At 37.3% G+C, this 18,380-nt stretch overlaps 1 long non-coding RNA gene across 13 annotated transcripts in view, besides 1 other annotated feature; it reads left to right on the forward strand.

The window, feature by feature from the left end:
* Nucleotides 1–18,380, forward strand: part of LINC02955 (long intergenic non-protein coding RNA 2955) — a 491,729-nt gene that overhangs the window by 312,154 nt on the left and 161,195 nt on the right. The gene's annotated exons all lie outside the window — the stretch shown is intronic.
* Nucleotides 13,383–14,132: an enhancer, noted in NCBI's record as "OCT4-NANOG hESC enhancer chr12:23178329-23179078 (GRCh37/hg19 assembly coordinates)". NCBI's record gives its function as "activates a minimal SCP1, AML or CMV promoter by ChIP-STARR-seq in naive H9 embryonic stem cells {active_cell/tissue: H9 hESC(naive)}" and the evidence as "EXISTENCE:reporter gene assay evidence [ECO:0000049][PMID:30033119]".

Below are 18,380 nucleotides of genomic sequence, written 5' to 3' on the forward strand. Positions count from 1 at the left end.
TTCCTGATCTTCTCCCTCCTTCCATCCTCCATCCTCTGATAGGCATCAGTGTGTCTTGTTCCCCTCTATGTGCCAATATGTTCTCATCATTTAGCTCCCACATATAAGCAAGAACATGCAGTATTTGGTTTTCTGTTACTGCATTAGTTTGCCAAGGATAATGGCCTCCAGCTCCATTCATGTCCCTGCAAAGGACTTGATCTCATTCTTTTTTATGGCTGCATAGTATTCCATGGTGTATATGTACCACATTTTCTTTATCCACTCTATTATTGACAGGGCAGTTAGGTTGTTTCCATGTTTTTGCTGTTGTGAATAGTGCAGCAATGAACATATGCATGCATATGTCTTTATAATAAAATGATTTATATTCCTTTTTGTACATACCCAGTAATGGGATTGCTGGGTCAATGGTGTTTCTATCTTTAGGTCCCTGAGGAATTCCCACACTGTCTTCCACAATGGTTGAACTAATTTACACTTGCACCAACAGTGTGTAAGCGTTCCTTTTTTTCCACAACCTTGCCAGCCTCTGTTATTTTTTGACTTTACAATAATAGCCATTCTGACTGGTGTGAAAAGGTGTCTCATTGTGGTTTTGATGTGCATTTCTCTAATGATCAGTGATGTTGAGCTTTTTTTCATATGATTGTTGGCCGCATGTGTGCCTAGTTTTGGAAGTGTCTCTTACGTCCTTTGCCCACTTTTTAATGGGATTATTTGTTTTTCTCTCATAAATTTGTTCAAGTTCCTTATAGATGTTAGATATTAGACCTTTGTCAGATGAAAAGTTTGCACATATTTTCTCCTGTTCTGTAGGTTATCTCTGTTTACTCTGTTGATAGTTTCTTATGCTGTGCAGAAGCTCTTTAGTTTAATTAGATCCCATTTGCCAGTTTTCGCTTTTGTTGCATTGCTTTTGGAATCTTTACCATGAAATCTTTTCCTGTGCCTATGTCCTGAGTGGTATTGCTTAGACCATCTTCCAGGATTTTCATAACTTTGGGTTTCACATTTAAGTAATCCATCTTGAGCTAATTTTTGTATATGGTGTAAGGAAGGGGTCCAGTTTTAATCTTCTACATACGGCTAGCCAGTTATCCCAGCACCATTTATTGAATAGGGAATCCTTTCCCCATTGTTTTTGTCAGGTTGCCCAAAGCAATTTATAGATTCACTGCTATCCCTATTAAACTACCATTGAGATTCTTCACAGAACCAGATAAAACTATTTTAAAATTCATAGGCAGCCAAAAAAGAGCCCAAATAGCCAAGGCAATCCTAAACAAAAATGAAAAACAAAAAACAAAGCTGGAGACATCATGCTAGCTGACTTCAAACTATACTACAGGGCTGTGGTAACCAACACAGCATGGTACTGGTACAAAAACAGACAGATGGGCCAATGGAACAGAATAGAGAGCCCAGAAATAAGACTGCACACCTACAACTATCTGATCTTTGAGAAGAATCTATTTCTTTGTAGTTTCTAGCTTCTAGAGGCCATCAGTATTCTTCAGCTTTGGCAAGCAGTGTAGCATCTTCAAATCTAAATCTCTCTCTCTCTCTATCTCTCTCTCTCTCTGTCTCTCTCTCTCTCTCTCTCTCTCTGAACTTGCCTCGTCATCATATCTCCTCCTATGACTCCAACTCTCTTGCTTCCCTCTTTTCCTTATAAGGACTCTTATGATTACATTGGGCCCACGCAGATAATTCAAGATAATCTCCCAATCTCAAGATCCTTAAATTAGTCATATCTGTAAAGTCTCTTCTGCCATGCAAGATAGCATATTCACAGGTTCTTGAGATTGAAATATGGGCATCTCTCCTAGTCCATTTGGGCTGCTATAACAAAATACCTGAGACTGGATAATTTATAAACAACAGAAATTTATTGCCTACAGTTCTGAAGGCTGGGAAGGCCAAGATCAAGGTGCCAGCAGATTTGGTGGCTGGTGAGGACTCTTTGCTTTGTAGATGTTGCCTTTTTGCTGCATCCTGACATGGTGAAGGGCAAAAGGGGCAAACACATTTCCTCAGACTTATTTGACAGGTGCATTAATTCCATTCACGAGGGCTCCACCCTCATGACCTAGTCATCTCCCAAAGAGGTGGGGTACCTCTTAATACCAACATATTGGAGATTCAATGTCAACATGTGAATTTTGGAGGGACATAAATATTCAGACCATCTTTGGGTCAAGGGGGATCATTATTCCGTCTACCACAGGGCTCTTTTTGTTACTTAATTTCTTTGGACTTCTATTATACCATTGATTCATATTATAATGTGGATCCTAGAATTCTAAAGAGATTCAGTTAATATTTGATCCCATTTTTACCAATTAGATTCGATTCACATTTTACTGAGCCCATATACAAAACAGTGTTTTAAATGTCAAATAACTGTAATAGTGAACCAACCATGTATGTATGAGTGGTTTCTTGATTTTTCCTTTCAGGTAATATTGACAATCATTTCCTTTAACTGTCAGAATTAGTGCATTAATCCTGTTAGGAGTCTGAAAAATATTAGAAACCATCAGTTAATTGTTAAGACCTTAATGTGGTGAGGTCTCTGAAACTGATAAAAGTAAAATGATTTACATCAATTAAAATGTTGCAATATTTTAAAGATAAATGTCAAGAACTGTGAAGGGTGTAAGATTTTACTGTACTTGCAAGTTAAGATGTTAACTTGCTACAGTTTCGTGGATGCTGGTTGAAGACATGGGACTCCTGGGTCAGAGACATAGGACAGTTTATTACTTACTGCAATGGCTGTAAGTGGCCAGAGTATCAGCATTTTTACACTGATTCCCAGTTTCCACAGGGTAATGTAAAGAGGGTCAGATGATATCTGAACAATTAATGGGTTGTGTTACATGAGAGGAATGTTGGATGTAGGGAAACTAAATCTTTTATAAGATTCTGCTCTTCACTCTAGAGGGAGACATTCTCTCTCTTCTAAGGCTACTTAATATACACACTTCCTTAAAAAATAGTCTGGAACTAACAGAAGTCAGCTCTTTGCTTATAAGGCATGCCAAAACATGAGGGAACCATGGAGAATTGTTTCCCAACAATACATAGGCCAATTTTTATTCTTAAAAAACCCAACATTTTAGGCAAATATTCCTTGTAAGCCTCAAATTGATTATGTCTTGAATTAAAATCTGATTTTACCTCAACCAAACTCCCTCTGCTTTGTTTTCTTTCTTTTCTTTTTTGTTTATTTTAATTTATATTTATTTATTTATTTTTTTGAGAGAGAGAGGGTCTTGCTCTGTTGCCCAGGCTGGAATGCAGTGGAGTGATCATGAGTCATTGCAGCCTTGACCTCTTGGGCTGAAGCAGTCCTACCCTCTCAGCCTCCCAAGTAGCTAGGACCACAGGCACATGCCACCACATCCAGCTATGTTTTTAATTTTTTCGGAGAGAAGGAGGTCTCACTGTGTTGCCCAGGCTGATCTTGAACTGCTGGACTCAAGTGATACTCCTGCCTCAGTCTCCTAAATCTCTAGGATTATAGGTGTAAACCACTGTGCCTGGCTGATATCAACTATTTACATTATACATAAAAAAGATTTTAAAAATAGTTTTACTTTATGAGCTCATTGTAGTGCTAGAGCATAGTGCTTTTTTAAAAAAATTTATTTTGGTTACATGAGTAAGTTCTTCAGTGGTGATTTCTGAGGTTTTGGTGCACATATCACCTGAGCAGTGTACACAGTATCCAGTCTGTAGTCTTTTATCCCTCACTCCCTTCCCACCCTTTCCCCTGAGTCCCGAAAGTCCATTGTATCATTCTTATGCCTTTGCATCTTCATAGCTTAGCTCCAACTTATGAGGGAGAACATACGATATTTTGTCTTCCATTCCTGAATTACTTCACTTAGAATAATGGTCTCCAATTACATCCAGGTTGCTGCAAATGCCGTTATTTTGTTCTTTTTTATGGCTGAGTAGTATTCCATTATATATATAGTGGTATATAATGTATACCACTATACATTATAGTATATAGTATATAATGTATACTACTATACATTATAGTATATAGTATATAGTAGTATTCTATTATATGTAATATATAATAGATATATAATAGATATATAATATATTCATATATATGATAGATATATAATATATTCATATATATGATAGATATATAATATATTCATATATATGATAGATATATAATATATTCATATATATGATAGATATATAATATATTCATATATATGATAGATATCTAATATATTCATATATATAATAGATATATACATATATAATAGATATATAATATATTCATATATATAATAGATATATAATATATTCATATATAATAGATATATAATATATTCATATATATAATAGATATATAATATATTCATATATAATAGATATATAATATATTCATATATATAATAGATATATAATATATTCATATATAATAGATATATAATATATTCATATATATAATAGATATATAATATATTCATATATAATATATAATATATTCATATATATAATAGATATATAATATATTCATATATATAATGGATATATAATATATTCATATATATAATGGATATATAATATATTCATATATATAATGGATATATAATATATTCATATATATAATGGATATATAATATATTCATATATATAATGGACATATAATATATTCACACATATATATGTGTGTGTGTGTGTATATATATGTGTATATATATATATGTATATATATATGTGTATATATATATATATGTATATATATATGACTTTCTTTATCCACTTGTTGACTGATGGGCATTTGGGCTGGTTTCATATTTTTGCAATTACAAATTGTATTGCGATAAACGTGTATCCAAGTATCTTTTTTTGTATAATGACTTTTTTTTCCTCTGGGTCAATACCCAGGAGTAGGATTGCTGGATCAAATCAGAGGTGTCCTTTTAGTTCTTAAAGGAATCTCCACACTATTTTCCATAGTGGTTGTACTAGTTTACATTTCCACCAACAGTGTAAAAGTATTCCATTTTCACTACATCTATGCCAATATCTATTATTTTTTGATTTCTTGATTATGACCATTCTTGCAGGAGTAAAGTGATACTGCATTGTGGTTTTGTATTGCATTTCCCTGATCATTAGTGATGGTGAACATTTTTTCATATATTTGTTGGCCATTTGTATATCTTCTTTTGAGAATTATCTATTCATGTCCTTAACCCACTTTCTGATGGGATTTTTTTTTCTTGCTGATTTGTTTGAGTTCCTTGTAGATTCTGGATATCAGTCCTTTGTCAGACATACAGATTATGAAGATTTTCTATCACTCTGTGGGTTGTCTGTTTACTCTGCTCATTATTTCTTTTGCTGTGCAGAAGTTTTTTAGTTTAATTAAGTCCCATCTATTTATTTTTGTTTTTGTTGCATTTGTTTTTGGGTTCTTGGTAATGAAGTTTTTGCCTAAGCCAATGTCTAAAAATAGCCAATGTCCTAAAATACTTAGGAATATACTTAACGAAGGAGGTGAAAGACCTCCACAAAAGAAAACTACAAAACACTGCTGAAAGAAATCATAGATAGAACAAACAAATGGAAACACATCCCCTGCTCGTGGATGGGTGGAATCAACATTGTGAAAATGACCATACTGCCAAAGGGAATCTACAAATTCAATGCAATTCACATCAAAATAACACCATCATTCTTCATAGAACTAGATAAAAAATCCTAAAATTCATATGGAACAAAAAAATAGCCCACATAGTCAAAGCAAGCCTAAGCAAAAGGAACAAATCTGGAAGCATCACATTACCTGACCTCAAACTATACTATAAGGCCATAGTCACCAAAACAGCATGATACTGGTATAAAAATAGGCATATAGACCAATGGAACAGAACAGAGAACCCAGAAATAAAGCCAAATACTTAACAGTCAACTCATCTTTGACAAAGCAAACAAAAACATAAAGTGGGGAAAGGACACTCTATTCAGCAAATGGTGCTGCGATAATTGGCAAGCCACATGTAGAAGAATGAAACTAGATCCTTTTCTGTCACCTTACACAAAAATCAACTCAAGATTGATCAAGGACTTAAATCTAAGACCTGAAACCATAAAAAATCTAGAAGATAACTTGGAATGATAGTGCTTTTGTAAACTGCCCTGTTTAGCATAATAAAGCTTGTCAATCCTTTGTGAAACCCTCAGATTTAAAAATATTTCACTGGCCCAAATGAAAATTTCTGGGACCCTCAGAAAGTATTCCTATCACCTCTTAATTGGGATGTCCCCCTCTAGGTGCTTGTACTTTAAAGATATTTTCTGCAATCTTTTCCAAGAGTATTTCTGTGATACTCCTTAAAGATTGGGGGGAGACCTTTTCACACAGTGACTTTTGCAGGCTTGGGTAACTGTTGTCTTGAAGTACACAGTAAATTCTTCATTTTCTGACCTGAACTTAAACCCTACATCATATCTGAACTTATAAATGCGCATGCCTCTCTTTCTTCCCAAACCAGGTAGAATTGTTCTCCTCACCCATCCCTCAACCCCTCCATGTCCCCCACAAATAAGAGTAGTGCACTTACAGAATATGTTCTTATCATTCCATATAGAATGGCATTAAACTATTTTCCCCACTGAATTATAAGCTTGGGGACAAGGACTATCTCATTTATGAGTGGACCTAGTATACAGCAGATGTTCAGCAAATGTGGGTTAGATGTATCTTTTTTCTATTTTCTCTATATGGTTGAATCATGGCACCAATCATTTACTTTCCTTTAAAAGAAGGGACTTTGTTTTGTTTGCTTTTGTGACCATAGAGCTTCCTTGTGCAAAATTAGAGCATAATGGGCTTAATACAAGTTTGTGGATTGTATAAAAGAAGGAAAGAAAGCAGAGAGTTTTTTTTTTTCAGAACCTGAACCTGAAGTTTTTTACTCTAGCTTGGTGTCTAAGACGAAACTCCAGGAGGTATAGTTATTTATGGGCTGCAGGACATCAAGAATCCTCTTACTTGCTGTAATTTCCGCAATCTCAATTCAAAGTACAAACTCTACTTCTAACTCTTTTATTTCTTCTGTTTTGTAAAAATGTAAAAAAATCTGGAAAACCACAGTGAGATCAGCTAAAATGTGATCAAACTTTTAACCATTTATGCCTTAGTGAAACTACAACCACCCCTCCCCACCCACCCAGTTCTTTGCACACACCATAACATGTAATTGTTCTCATATTTTCCCATTCTCAGTGGAGGCATGGAGAAACATGAGCTCCCTTTCTGAATCCAAGCATGACCCAGCTGTTATCATATCCAGAAGAGTCAGATAGTGAGGGAGCTCTAAGGTCACAAAATACATAGAACAATTTTTAAGTTATTGTTCACATGTTTCCTTTAATACAGCCTCTATATAAGTGATGAACTAATTAATGCCAGAACCAGGATCATGGAATAAGAATGAAGACCATGGCTGAGGTGATTACATAGGCAACTCAAAGTAAGAAAGTAATTCAGTCCAGTCCAATCCAGCATTTATTGTGTGATTATATGTCAGACATTGTGATAAGCCCTTTGGAAATATAATCATGATTAGGATATAATCATTAACTTCAAGGGGCTTATAAATTCTAGTTGGAGATACAGACAGATGAATGACTAGCTATAATAATGAACAGAACAAAAATATAATAAATAGACATATAAATAAAGTATTTTGGAAGCACTGAGGAAGAAAATCTATTTTGATTAGTGGTATCAGAATACTGTTCTCAGTACTGATATCAGGATTCTAATATCAAATATAACCGTAACAAAGGAGGTAGTATTTAAATAGGGGTTTGAAAGATGAACAGAAGTTCTGTAAATGGGGAATATGGGAAAGGTGCAGTGCAGGTGGAGGGAATTACTTGAGGAAAAGTGTGAAGACATGGCAGGGCACAGCAAATAAAAAGCTCTCACTGGTCTGTTGTGGTTGAATCATTTGATGTGGAGAGGAGCATGAGGCTGAAAAAATAGAGATGAAGCCAGATTTATTTAATAAGTATTTATTGAACAATCATTGTATTCCATTGTTTTCTTCCATGGAAAGTAGTTTTCTATAAGTTAAGTAAAAAATCAGGCTACTAAGCACTATGAATAGTGATGTCATTTGGCAAACATCCTTGCCTCCATAGAGTTTTTCTTCTAGCTTGGGGATGGGGATGGCAGGACTGCCACAAAAGAAATAAATGAGCTATAAAGTTATGTTATGGAGTGTACTAGGCCATTCTTTTGTTGCTATAAAGAAATGCCTGAGGCTGGGTGAAATGGTTTGGCTCTGTGGCCTCACTCAAATCTCATCTCGAATTGTAATCCTCACATGTTGAGGGAGGGACCTGTAATCCCCACATGTGGAGGGAGGGAGCTGATTGGATCATGGCGGCAGTTTCCCCATGCTGTTCTAGTGAGTGAGTTCCCATGAAATCTGCTGGTTTTACAGGAGTTTGACAGTTCCTCCTTCACGTGTTTCTCTCTCCTGCCACCTTGTGAAGAAGGTGCCTGCTTTGCCTTCTGCCATGATTGTAAGTTTCCTGAGGCCTCCCCAGTTGCGTGGAACTATGAGTTAATTAAACCTCTTTTCCTTATAAATTACCAAGTCTCAGGTAGTATCTTTATAGCATTATGAAACCAGACTAATGTACTGGGTAATTTATAAAGAAAAGAGTTTGAATTGGCTCATGGTTATGCAGGCTGTATAAGCATGGCTCCAGCATCTGCTTCTGCTGCTTCTGATGAGGACCTTAGGGAGATTATAATCATGACAGAAGGCCAAGAGGGAGCAGGTGCATCACATGGCAAGAGCAGGAGCTAAAGAGAGAGGTTGGGGGGAGTGTCATTCTCACACTTTTAAACAACCAGATCTAATGAGAACTCACTCACTATTGCGAGGGCAGCACCAAGCCATTCATGGGGCATCCACCCCCATGACCAAAACACCTCCCACCAGGCCCTGCCTCTAACATTGGGGATTACATTTCAACATGAGATTAGGAAAGAAAAAACATTCAGAGTATATCATGGAGCAAAATAAAGCAGGTATTACTTTCAAATAGGGTGGTCCAGGAATGTTTGCTGAGAAAGTAACCTGTGATCAATGACTTGATGGGGCTGAGGAAATATTTCTAAGGAAAGAGTGTTCTCACAGAGAGATCAGTGAGTCTAGTGGTTTTTATTATGGCTCCCTTTAAAGAAATAATGACCTCTTAATAAAATAAACTCTGGAGACTCTAAGGTTTCACACTGGAGAGAGAATATCTTCTGATTACTGATAGCCCTTTGAAAATTCAGGGACAGCATCTGGGCCATGGATGATCAGAAGATATTCATTCCAGGATGAATCCTTAGAAGCTACCCATCACCATTGCCCACTAGCCCTCTGAGACCAACTTTAAAAGCTACTGGATTTTCCTAAAATACAACTTGAGAATTTTATCATTCTTATCCTCAACAAATTCAATGAATCTCTATTTTTTAAAGGAACAAAATCATGATATAGCAGGAATTAAGAGTCTCAGGTGCTCAAGATAAGGTCCACCTTCCCCATTCTCTAGATGCCCTTTTATAAGCATGACAAGAGGTCCCAGAAGTTCTGAGTGCTCCAGGAGTCAACAGAGGGTGCCATGGAGATCTGCGTGTTCTGGCTGAAACTGCCTTGTCATGGGTTCTAAACTGGAAGGGCCCTAAGAGTCTATAGATCATGGCAAATCCATGTGCCCTCTTCCTGCCCAACTGGAGTCTCATCACCACCATCAGTCTTGGGACCATAGGACTGATCTAATTTTATTCTTTAATCCTATTTATTTCATTACCTCAAAAAGCCCAACATGGTGAGGTGATAGAACTCCACTCTTACACTGCCCATATAGCTGTGCACATCTTTTTCCACGATCCCATTTCCTATCTCTCTCCCATACCTGCAACCCTTCCACTCTGCCTCTTGGATCACCCTTCAGCAGAAATCCGTTATATGCTCCACCTCGTCTTTTAACCGTCCTTTTACTTCTGATCAGATCCCTGTCATTCACTTCACTAGCTGGAAAAGCTGGTTCTCTATTGAAGACACTGCTTCCCCTTTCAATTGATCCCTGTTTTTTCCTCTCTCATTATTGTGTGAATGTAGGATAGATGCCCTTCTTGCTTCTCATTGGTACTTCTAGGCATTTTCTCTTATTTCTGCTTATAAACCTCAGCTTTGAGTCCAAGTCATCAAACCATAAACCACCTACTACCTCCTCTTTGCTGTAGGCAAGGAGGCACCTGGAGCCACTCGCTCTAATTCCTTGAACAGTTGAGTTTCTGGCTATCACTGTCTCCAACATTGTCTTTCATAATTTTTGGTGATTTTATTATTCTTTTTATATTATTATTTTTTGGGACATGGTCTCACTTTGTCACCCGAGCTGGAGTGCAGTGGTGCAATCATAGCTCATTGCAGCCTCAGCCTCCCAGGCTTGAGTGATCCTCCCACCTCAGCCTCCCGAGTAGCTGGGACTACAGGCATGCGCTCCCATGCCCAGCTAATTTTTAAAATTTTTTCTAGAGACAAGGTCTCGCTTTGTTGCCCAGGCTGGTCTCGAACTCCTGGGCTCAAGAGATTCTCCTGCCTTGGCCTCCCAAAGTTCTGGGATTACAGACATGAACCACTGTGCCTGCTGGATTTTATTATTCTTGAGGACAATCCTTCATGTGCCTTATTTCTCTGGGACTCCTCTCCTCGAATGACCTTATCCTCTACTCTTTGGTTCCTTTGTCAAAACCTCATTATTCACAATAACTACAACCTCTGTTATCTCAATTTCAAGTTCCCCCTCTCTGATTACCCTCTCCTAAGTTTCCAACTCTCTCTCCATTCTAAAATTCCTCCCACCCACACCATAGGTTTTGCCATTCACGGATCTTTTTTTTCCCCCCAATAAGGAGTCTTGCTCTGTTGCGCAGGCTGAAGTGCAGTGGTGTGATCTCAGTTCACTGCAACCTCCACTTCCCAGTTTCAAGCAATTCTCCTGCCTCAGCCTCCTGAGTAGCTGGGATTAGAGACGCCTGCCACTGCACCTGGCTAATTTTTGTATTTTTAATAGAGACAGGGTGTCACTATGTTGGCCAGGCTGGTCTCAAACTCCTGACCTCGTGATCCACCCACCTCGGCCTCCCAAAGTGCTGGGATTACAGGCGTGAGCCACCACGCCTGGCCTGCCATTCGCAGATCTTCTCAGCTGCTTCCTGTGTCTTATCCTTCCACGTTTTCACATTTCTTTTTTCCTAGTCTAGGGTCTGATGTCATCAGAAGTAGTGTAAGAAAATGGGACGAGGTGGGGTTTGCAAGTGTTTATTTGACATTAATTTAGAGAGCAGATTACTGGGGTTGGGGGGTAGGACAAGAGAGAAATACTCAAGCTTGTTCTCAGTTTCTCATCTACTGTCCAAGAATCCCATTTGGTTGTAAGCTTGTCTGTCCCACGGGAGAAAACCAAAGCCTGCCAAGGAGCTGGGTCCTTAGGAGGCAGGTTAGTGATTCCTGATACTCATATCTGCTGATTGGGGGCACAGGGTGGGGTAGTTTAGCTCCCCAAGTGGCTCCACTAGAACTTTCTAACTATGTGCAGTCCTCTTTCTGAGGGAACTCTGATGAAGGCTCTTTTCTTCAGAGGTTTATAAAATTCCAGGGATGTTTTAGTGACCCTTACGGATTTAAGTCGCTGGCTGTGGCTCAGTAGCCTATCTCTGAATTTGGCTCTGGGAGTTAGGGAAGGCTTCACACAAAGGAGGTGACATTTGAACTTGGCTTTGAAGGATTAGTAGGATTTTGCCAGAAGTGGCATAAGAATTCTCACTGGCAAGAAAGATAATTACTAGCAACCTTTTTTTTTTTTTCCTGCTTCATAATATTAAGGACAATTTAGACCTTTGTGCCTATATATTCATACATCATATGTTTATGGCTCGAAGTAAATATGATTAAGTAGACAAAACCCAACTTTATAAATCCTCTTTTTTATGTGCAAAGTAAATATTTTTAAGAAGGGGGTTTGATTTATTTACATTTTTAATTAAATGAAAATTACAGATAAAAGATGCTATACCACTCGTCTTCCTAGGAAAAGAAAATATTGCAATGTAATTAAAAGGATGCCTCAAATTATAATTAGATTTGAAATTTAATTATGACTGGAATACTTCATCCTTATGCACACTGACACCTTGTTGATACCTAACCTTTAAAGTATTTTTATTATATTTACACTAAGATCTTAATCTGTGGACTAAATAAAACCCTTAGATTCAAAAGAAGTATTAGAATTCAGCAAAGAATACAATATTCTTTTTTTTCTGGAAAAAAAAGTGTGTTTTAGAATTCGCATTTTAACCATTGCTAAATCTTATTTAACAACTTCCAGCTGAAAACAGTTTAATAATCTCTAGCAGAGATGGATTGGTATAGTAAGACCTTTCTTAGCTAAGGAGAATATTCTTTTGTTCATACCTGATAGAGTTCCTCTCTTCCAAGTTGAAAGGACTCTAGGAAATCCCAATACATATTCAGGAATCACATTTTCCAATAAGAAAATTCTCATTATGGAGTGTCAATTCTATCTATCTATCTATCTATCTATCTATCTATAAATCTATTACTGTTACTTGATGGAATCTCTTCTGCAGTAAGCTCCGGTTAAATACATTTGCTATACTTAACTTCCTGTGGCACCATTTGACACTTCTTGCAGCTTAGAAAACAATAAATTTAACAGTAAAAATGATTTAGCTACAGTACAATGTGCCCTGCGAGAAATGTTTTGGGATAAAGATTCCCAAAATGCAATTATTATTAGCTTGATTTGCAAAATATTATGTAATAAAATCTGTTTGAAAAATTGCCAGTTTAGCTTACCTGGTGTCGAAGAATGCACTTAATATAAATTGAAGTTCTTTATTCACGAATAAAAGTCCGAATTCATAGCCTTTGTGGCAATCTTTAAAATACTTGCTTGTTAATTAAATAATTGAATAAATATATATAGATAATGTATTATGTGCTAGGCATTTCCTAAATTTCGTATAGTATATGTTGGTTCTAATTTACTACAATCATCAAATGGATTGGCCTTCAGGACAGTAAATATAAAAGACTTGCTTTTATAAACTCAAGAGGAAAAATACAAAGCAACAAAGTTCGATCATCTGAAATTGACTCATTTTCATTCTACTGAGTTTGAACTTACATGCCTCACTTAGCCCCTCCTTACTGAACCAATTTTCACCAGACAACTTCTGCTCCTAGATGAACTGAATTTCTACAAATGGCCTGCCTCTGTGGTCCTCTGTATAGGCAAACCTGTCATTGAAGTCCTTAACTCTTTTGAAGGGACTTCAAAAGTCCATTGAAATCCAAAACTTTCCTTGAAGTTAAGTCAAGTTTTGCCTGTTTTAGGGCTGCAGGATTTCATCCAGAAAAGCCTAGGTGGTTAACAAGGAAAGGACATGTTAACCTGGTTGGATTTCATCACAAGTGGAATTTGGTCTGACAATTTTGGCTCTGTTAGGGGGTTTAAAGCATATTCAGCTGTGGAAATGATAAAAGGATTCTCCTACCTGGTTTTATAGCACAATAGCTGAAAGACCAGCAGGTATTTCCAAGCATCTTTTAGTGCATATCCCAAACTGCTTCACCAGCTGGATCTTCAGTGAATGAAATAACCCTGCTGTTAAAGCATTTGAATCCCAGTCAAAGTCGTTGACAGTAAAAATCCAGGTGGCTATGCAAATTGGTCATTTCCTTAAATAGTAATTTGAGTTTCACTAGGTGAGCCCTGCTAATAATGACAAGCAACATCTGTGTGGTATGTTTCAATTCATGGAACAGCTTTTATGTATATTATCTCAATTAGTCTTCACTAAAACTCTATGAGATGAAGAAATGGAAGTTCAGAGAGATTAAGTGACTTGCCCAAGGTTATACAAGTAGTAAGTGGTGAGCTGGGATTTGAACACAGACACAGGGACACAGTGGGCTTCCATTAGACTATGAGTGACTGCTAGTGCAGATGATTATTGATTCATAGATTTTGATTCAAAGAATCAAGCTGCTTTGTCTTCTTTTGGGGGTCCTATTTCTATAGGTCTTTTTTTGAAAATAGGATAGTGTGACCAGCTGAAGTGCTTGCTGAAGGCAGAGAGAATACAGAATTAATAGAAGAAAAAAGTAGTTACAAATATCAGCTATGACTACATGACCAGATACCAAAATGAGACTGCAAATGTCATAAGTATTTCCTTCCTATTTTCTTCTGAAAATATTTGTTTATATATATATATACATATATTAAGCAAATATTTTTATTTCCTTATTATGTAACATAAGATGTATTGACTTTATATCAGTATTTAAGTATTGTTAATTTTACCTAATAGTATGTAAGTTATGGGATGCCAGTAAACATTATTCAAGGACCTTACCTCCTCTTCTGGGAAAAGGGTTAGTGTGTTTCAGCTGTATGCAGAACAGTTCTATCATATTAGGTGAAATTACGACCATATTATTTTCTTTATTTGGAAATTTAACCATGGTTCAAAGAGATATGTATGGATGCTAAGTTGATAAGTGGTGAATTTGGGTTGGTTAATTTTATGCACCAACAAGACCGGGCTAAGGGATGCCCAGATAGCTGGTAAAATATTATTTCTGGATGTGTCTGTTAGGGTATTTCTGGAAGAGATTGGCATTTGAATCAATAGGCTGAGTAAAGGAGATCATCCTCACCAATGTGGTTGGGCCTTATTCAATCCATTGAGGGCCTGAATAGAACAAAAATGTGGAGGAAGGGTGAATTTGCTTCCTTTCTCACGTGTGTGTGTGTGTGTGTGTGTGTGTGTGTGTGTGTGTGTGTGTGTGTGAGAGAGAGAGAGAGAGGGAGAGAAATCTCTATATATATATCCTGTTGGTTCTGTTTCTCTGGGAAACCCTGACTAATACATATAGATTATATTTTGAGCTCTGGGCTCATATTACTAAATTTTCTAAATTTATAAGAAAAGCTGGAATTTCTGATTTTCGTGGAAACTTTCCCAATTTTTAAATGTTAGCAACTGTGTCAGTTTGGGTCATTGTTCTCAATGCTTTATTCCTCCTGTAGTAGATTTCTACATTGACACCCTTTTGCCATGTAACTCTTTAGGCCTTCCCAGTAGAACGAATAGAGTAGACATTGCTTGCCTCATTGGTTTTGGATTTGGCCATGTAATTTGGATTGCCCAGTGAAATGTGAGGAAAAAAAATGACCTGTGGCTTTAAGAAGTGCCTTTTATTTTCCATGTTTCTTATGCTCCTGCATTTACCTTGAGAGAGGCTTTTTCTGCAGCCCCAGATGGAGGAGACACAGCAGACTGGAACCTGACCCGCAGCTTGGATCCAAGTTCAGTCAATCCCAGCAGATGCCAGTGCATTCCTGTTGAGCCCAGCAGAGCCCCAGCCAATAAGCAAACCTGTGAATAAGAAATAGATGTTTCTAAGTAATGGAGATGTGGGGTTATTATGCAGTAATATTTCAGCAAAACCTGACAAATTAAAACATTTTTATAAAAAAATAGTAACAGCTTAAATTACATACAGCTGCAGACTGGATGCAGCCTGTGGGCCACCAGCCTGAAATTTGTAAAATGGATCTTTGGCAGTATCATTGCCAATTCTAGCATTTAGATCTCTGGGTTAAAAACAAAAACAAGAACAAAACCTTATGCCAAATGTTGGATGCATGGAATATTTAGAGGAAAAGAAAAAAGCTGTGAATTTAAGAAGTGACACCTAAACAATGTCTGTGCTCCTTGTCAGAAGAGACATATAAACGAAGATATATAACTAACTGAAAATGAAGTGAAATGAGATATTTTCTGTGTCATTTAGTGGGATTAACAGGATCAGCCACATTTTCCTCCGTCAGCACTACTTTATACATATAGGCCAAATGCTTAGGGAAGGAATTTGTTTTCTGTCATCCATTTTTGTTACAGTTAAAGTTTTTCAGAGTTCCTGAAAAAAGTTAGAAGATTAATGTTCATATTTAACTCTTCATTCTCCTTCACTCTAAAAGAGCAATTTTAATTATTGAAAGAAATATCTCATGCTTTACTAAGTCTTGGGAAATGCAGTAATTTATTTTACACAGCTAAGATCACCTGGGGGAATTAAAGAAGATTTACTTCTCTGCAGAATTCAGGAGGAAATCAGCATAGGCAGACTTAGAGCAGAGGGAAAGAATGTCAACAACCTCCAATCACAGAGACAGAAACTTGCATGTTCCTCAAAAGACTGAGTGAGAGGGAGGGTCACATCAGATCTTCTAGTACAAGTTACCTCCCGCCAAGAAAAGGCTTCCATACCTAAGACAAGAGCAGCTCTACACACGATGTGATCTGGATGTGATTAGGACCCTTCAATAGAGCCATTTCCTTTTTATAAATGTATGATGTGATGGCAGAGGACAGCACTGAGAGCACGCTAGGGCATGAGCACATTCCTTATTGATCATTCACAGCTTCCCCAAGCTGAGGCAGCCTAAGCCTACATATTTTCCAATCTTAGAGCAATGGTACTACAATAGTCAGCTACACAGGCTTCCATGCGAGTCATGCCAACAGTCCTTAGACCTGTTAGCAGGTCAATCCTGCTATCAAAATAATTATGTCATTTTAATCATGATATCTGCCACAGAAGAGAAATATAGGATGCTGTGAGGTTGCAATATTATTGTCCCCTGCTAGAATGTGACATCAAGGAAATATCACCAAATAAATAACATTTAAGATAACACTTGGAAGACAGGTGGGTGGTATTTAGTCTGAGAAAGGGATGGGATGATGGGGTCATACAGGATGTGAGAGAGGGAGAGAGACAGACAGACAGAAACATAGAGAATATCCGAAGTTCTGTGCTAGTATTTTTTAAAGGGGATCACAAAGTTTGAAGAAATGCCCCATCAGATGATTATTGTTTCCTCCTCATCTTTAGTTTAAAGTGATCTTCTATATCATGAACAGAAAAGAAGATTTGAAGAGGTTAAAGATTGTTGGACAAAGTGTGAAGTAAAATCAATAAGCATTATGGCTAAGAGTCTGGAAATGAATATCAAACAGACCTGATTTAAATCACAGTTCTCTACTTACTGGCTTTATGACCTGGGGCAAGTTACTTGTTTAACCTCTCCAACCCTCATTTTTTTTTAAACCTGCAAAACAGGGAAAATAATGCATATCTTAGAGTGCTACTGTAAGGATTAGGTGGAACAATACGTGTCAACTGTTGAGCATTGTGACTGTCAGACTGCAAGCATTCAGGTGTCGGAGCAGAAAGGTGAGCTGTCCGTGGTGGACCTCAGGTCAGAATGAATGAGAGTTTTAGTTGGTGATAGTATAATATTTGTAAAGCCTTAATCCATGTATAATCAATTCACTTATGAAGAATTTAAATCTGCCTTCAAAGTTATTTTCTCTTAGGCAGGTATATTCATTTTCTAGGGCTGCTATAACAAAGTGCCACCAACTATGTGACTGAAAACAACAGGAATGTACTGTTTCACAGTTCTGGAGGCCAGAAGTCCAAAACCAAGCTGTCAGCAGGGCCTTGCACTCACTGAGATCTGGGTAAAGTCCCTCCTTGCCTCTCCCTGGCATCTGGTGGGGGCATCAATGTCAATCCAGAACTTCCTTGGCTTGCTGCTTCTGCACTCCTATCTCTGTCTCTGTCATCCCATGTGCTCTCCCTGTGAGTCTGTCTCTGTTTCTTCTCTTCCTGTAAGAACACCTGTCATTTTGGATTAGGGTCCACCCTAGTGACTTCATTTTAACTTGATTACATCTGCAGAAGCCCTATTTCCAAATAAGCTCACATTCAGAAATACCGGGAGGTGGGACTTATCTTTTTTGGGGACGCAATTCAATCCCCAAGAATATATGAGTGAAATGGTTACAGGGAAGAAGAGCCTGTTTACCAGTGAGTTAGATAATTCTTTCTATAGCAAGTTGAGACTTCTAAAGATACATGATCAAAGTGCTCCATTCTTCTGGTGCCTATAATTCTAAGCGTGCCTGGATTACCAACTTAGGGTTCTGATTACTTTATTTGTATTTTTCTCAGTTCTAAAAGTCTTCTTGAGTATAATCTCTGGCTTTGACACAATTTTCTTATCTCTTATGATAAAGAAAGGGGGTTGCGGGGAAATCTACATCCTGAAAGGAATTGATCATTTTAAAAAAACTAGTTATGAGGAAAGCAGGGTGATACAAAATGATCTTTTAGCTGAACTAAAGACTTGCTAATGTAGCTTCTTTT

The sequence above is a fragment of the Homo sapiens genome, chromosome 12 (genome assembly GCF_000001405.40).
Source record: "Homo sapiens chromosome 12, GRCh38.p14 Primary Assembly".
NCBI classification, from domain to species: Eukaryota; Metazoa; Chordata; class Mammalia; order Primates; family Hominidae; genus Homo; species Homo sapiens.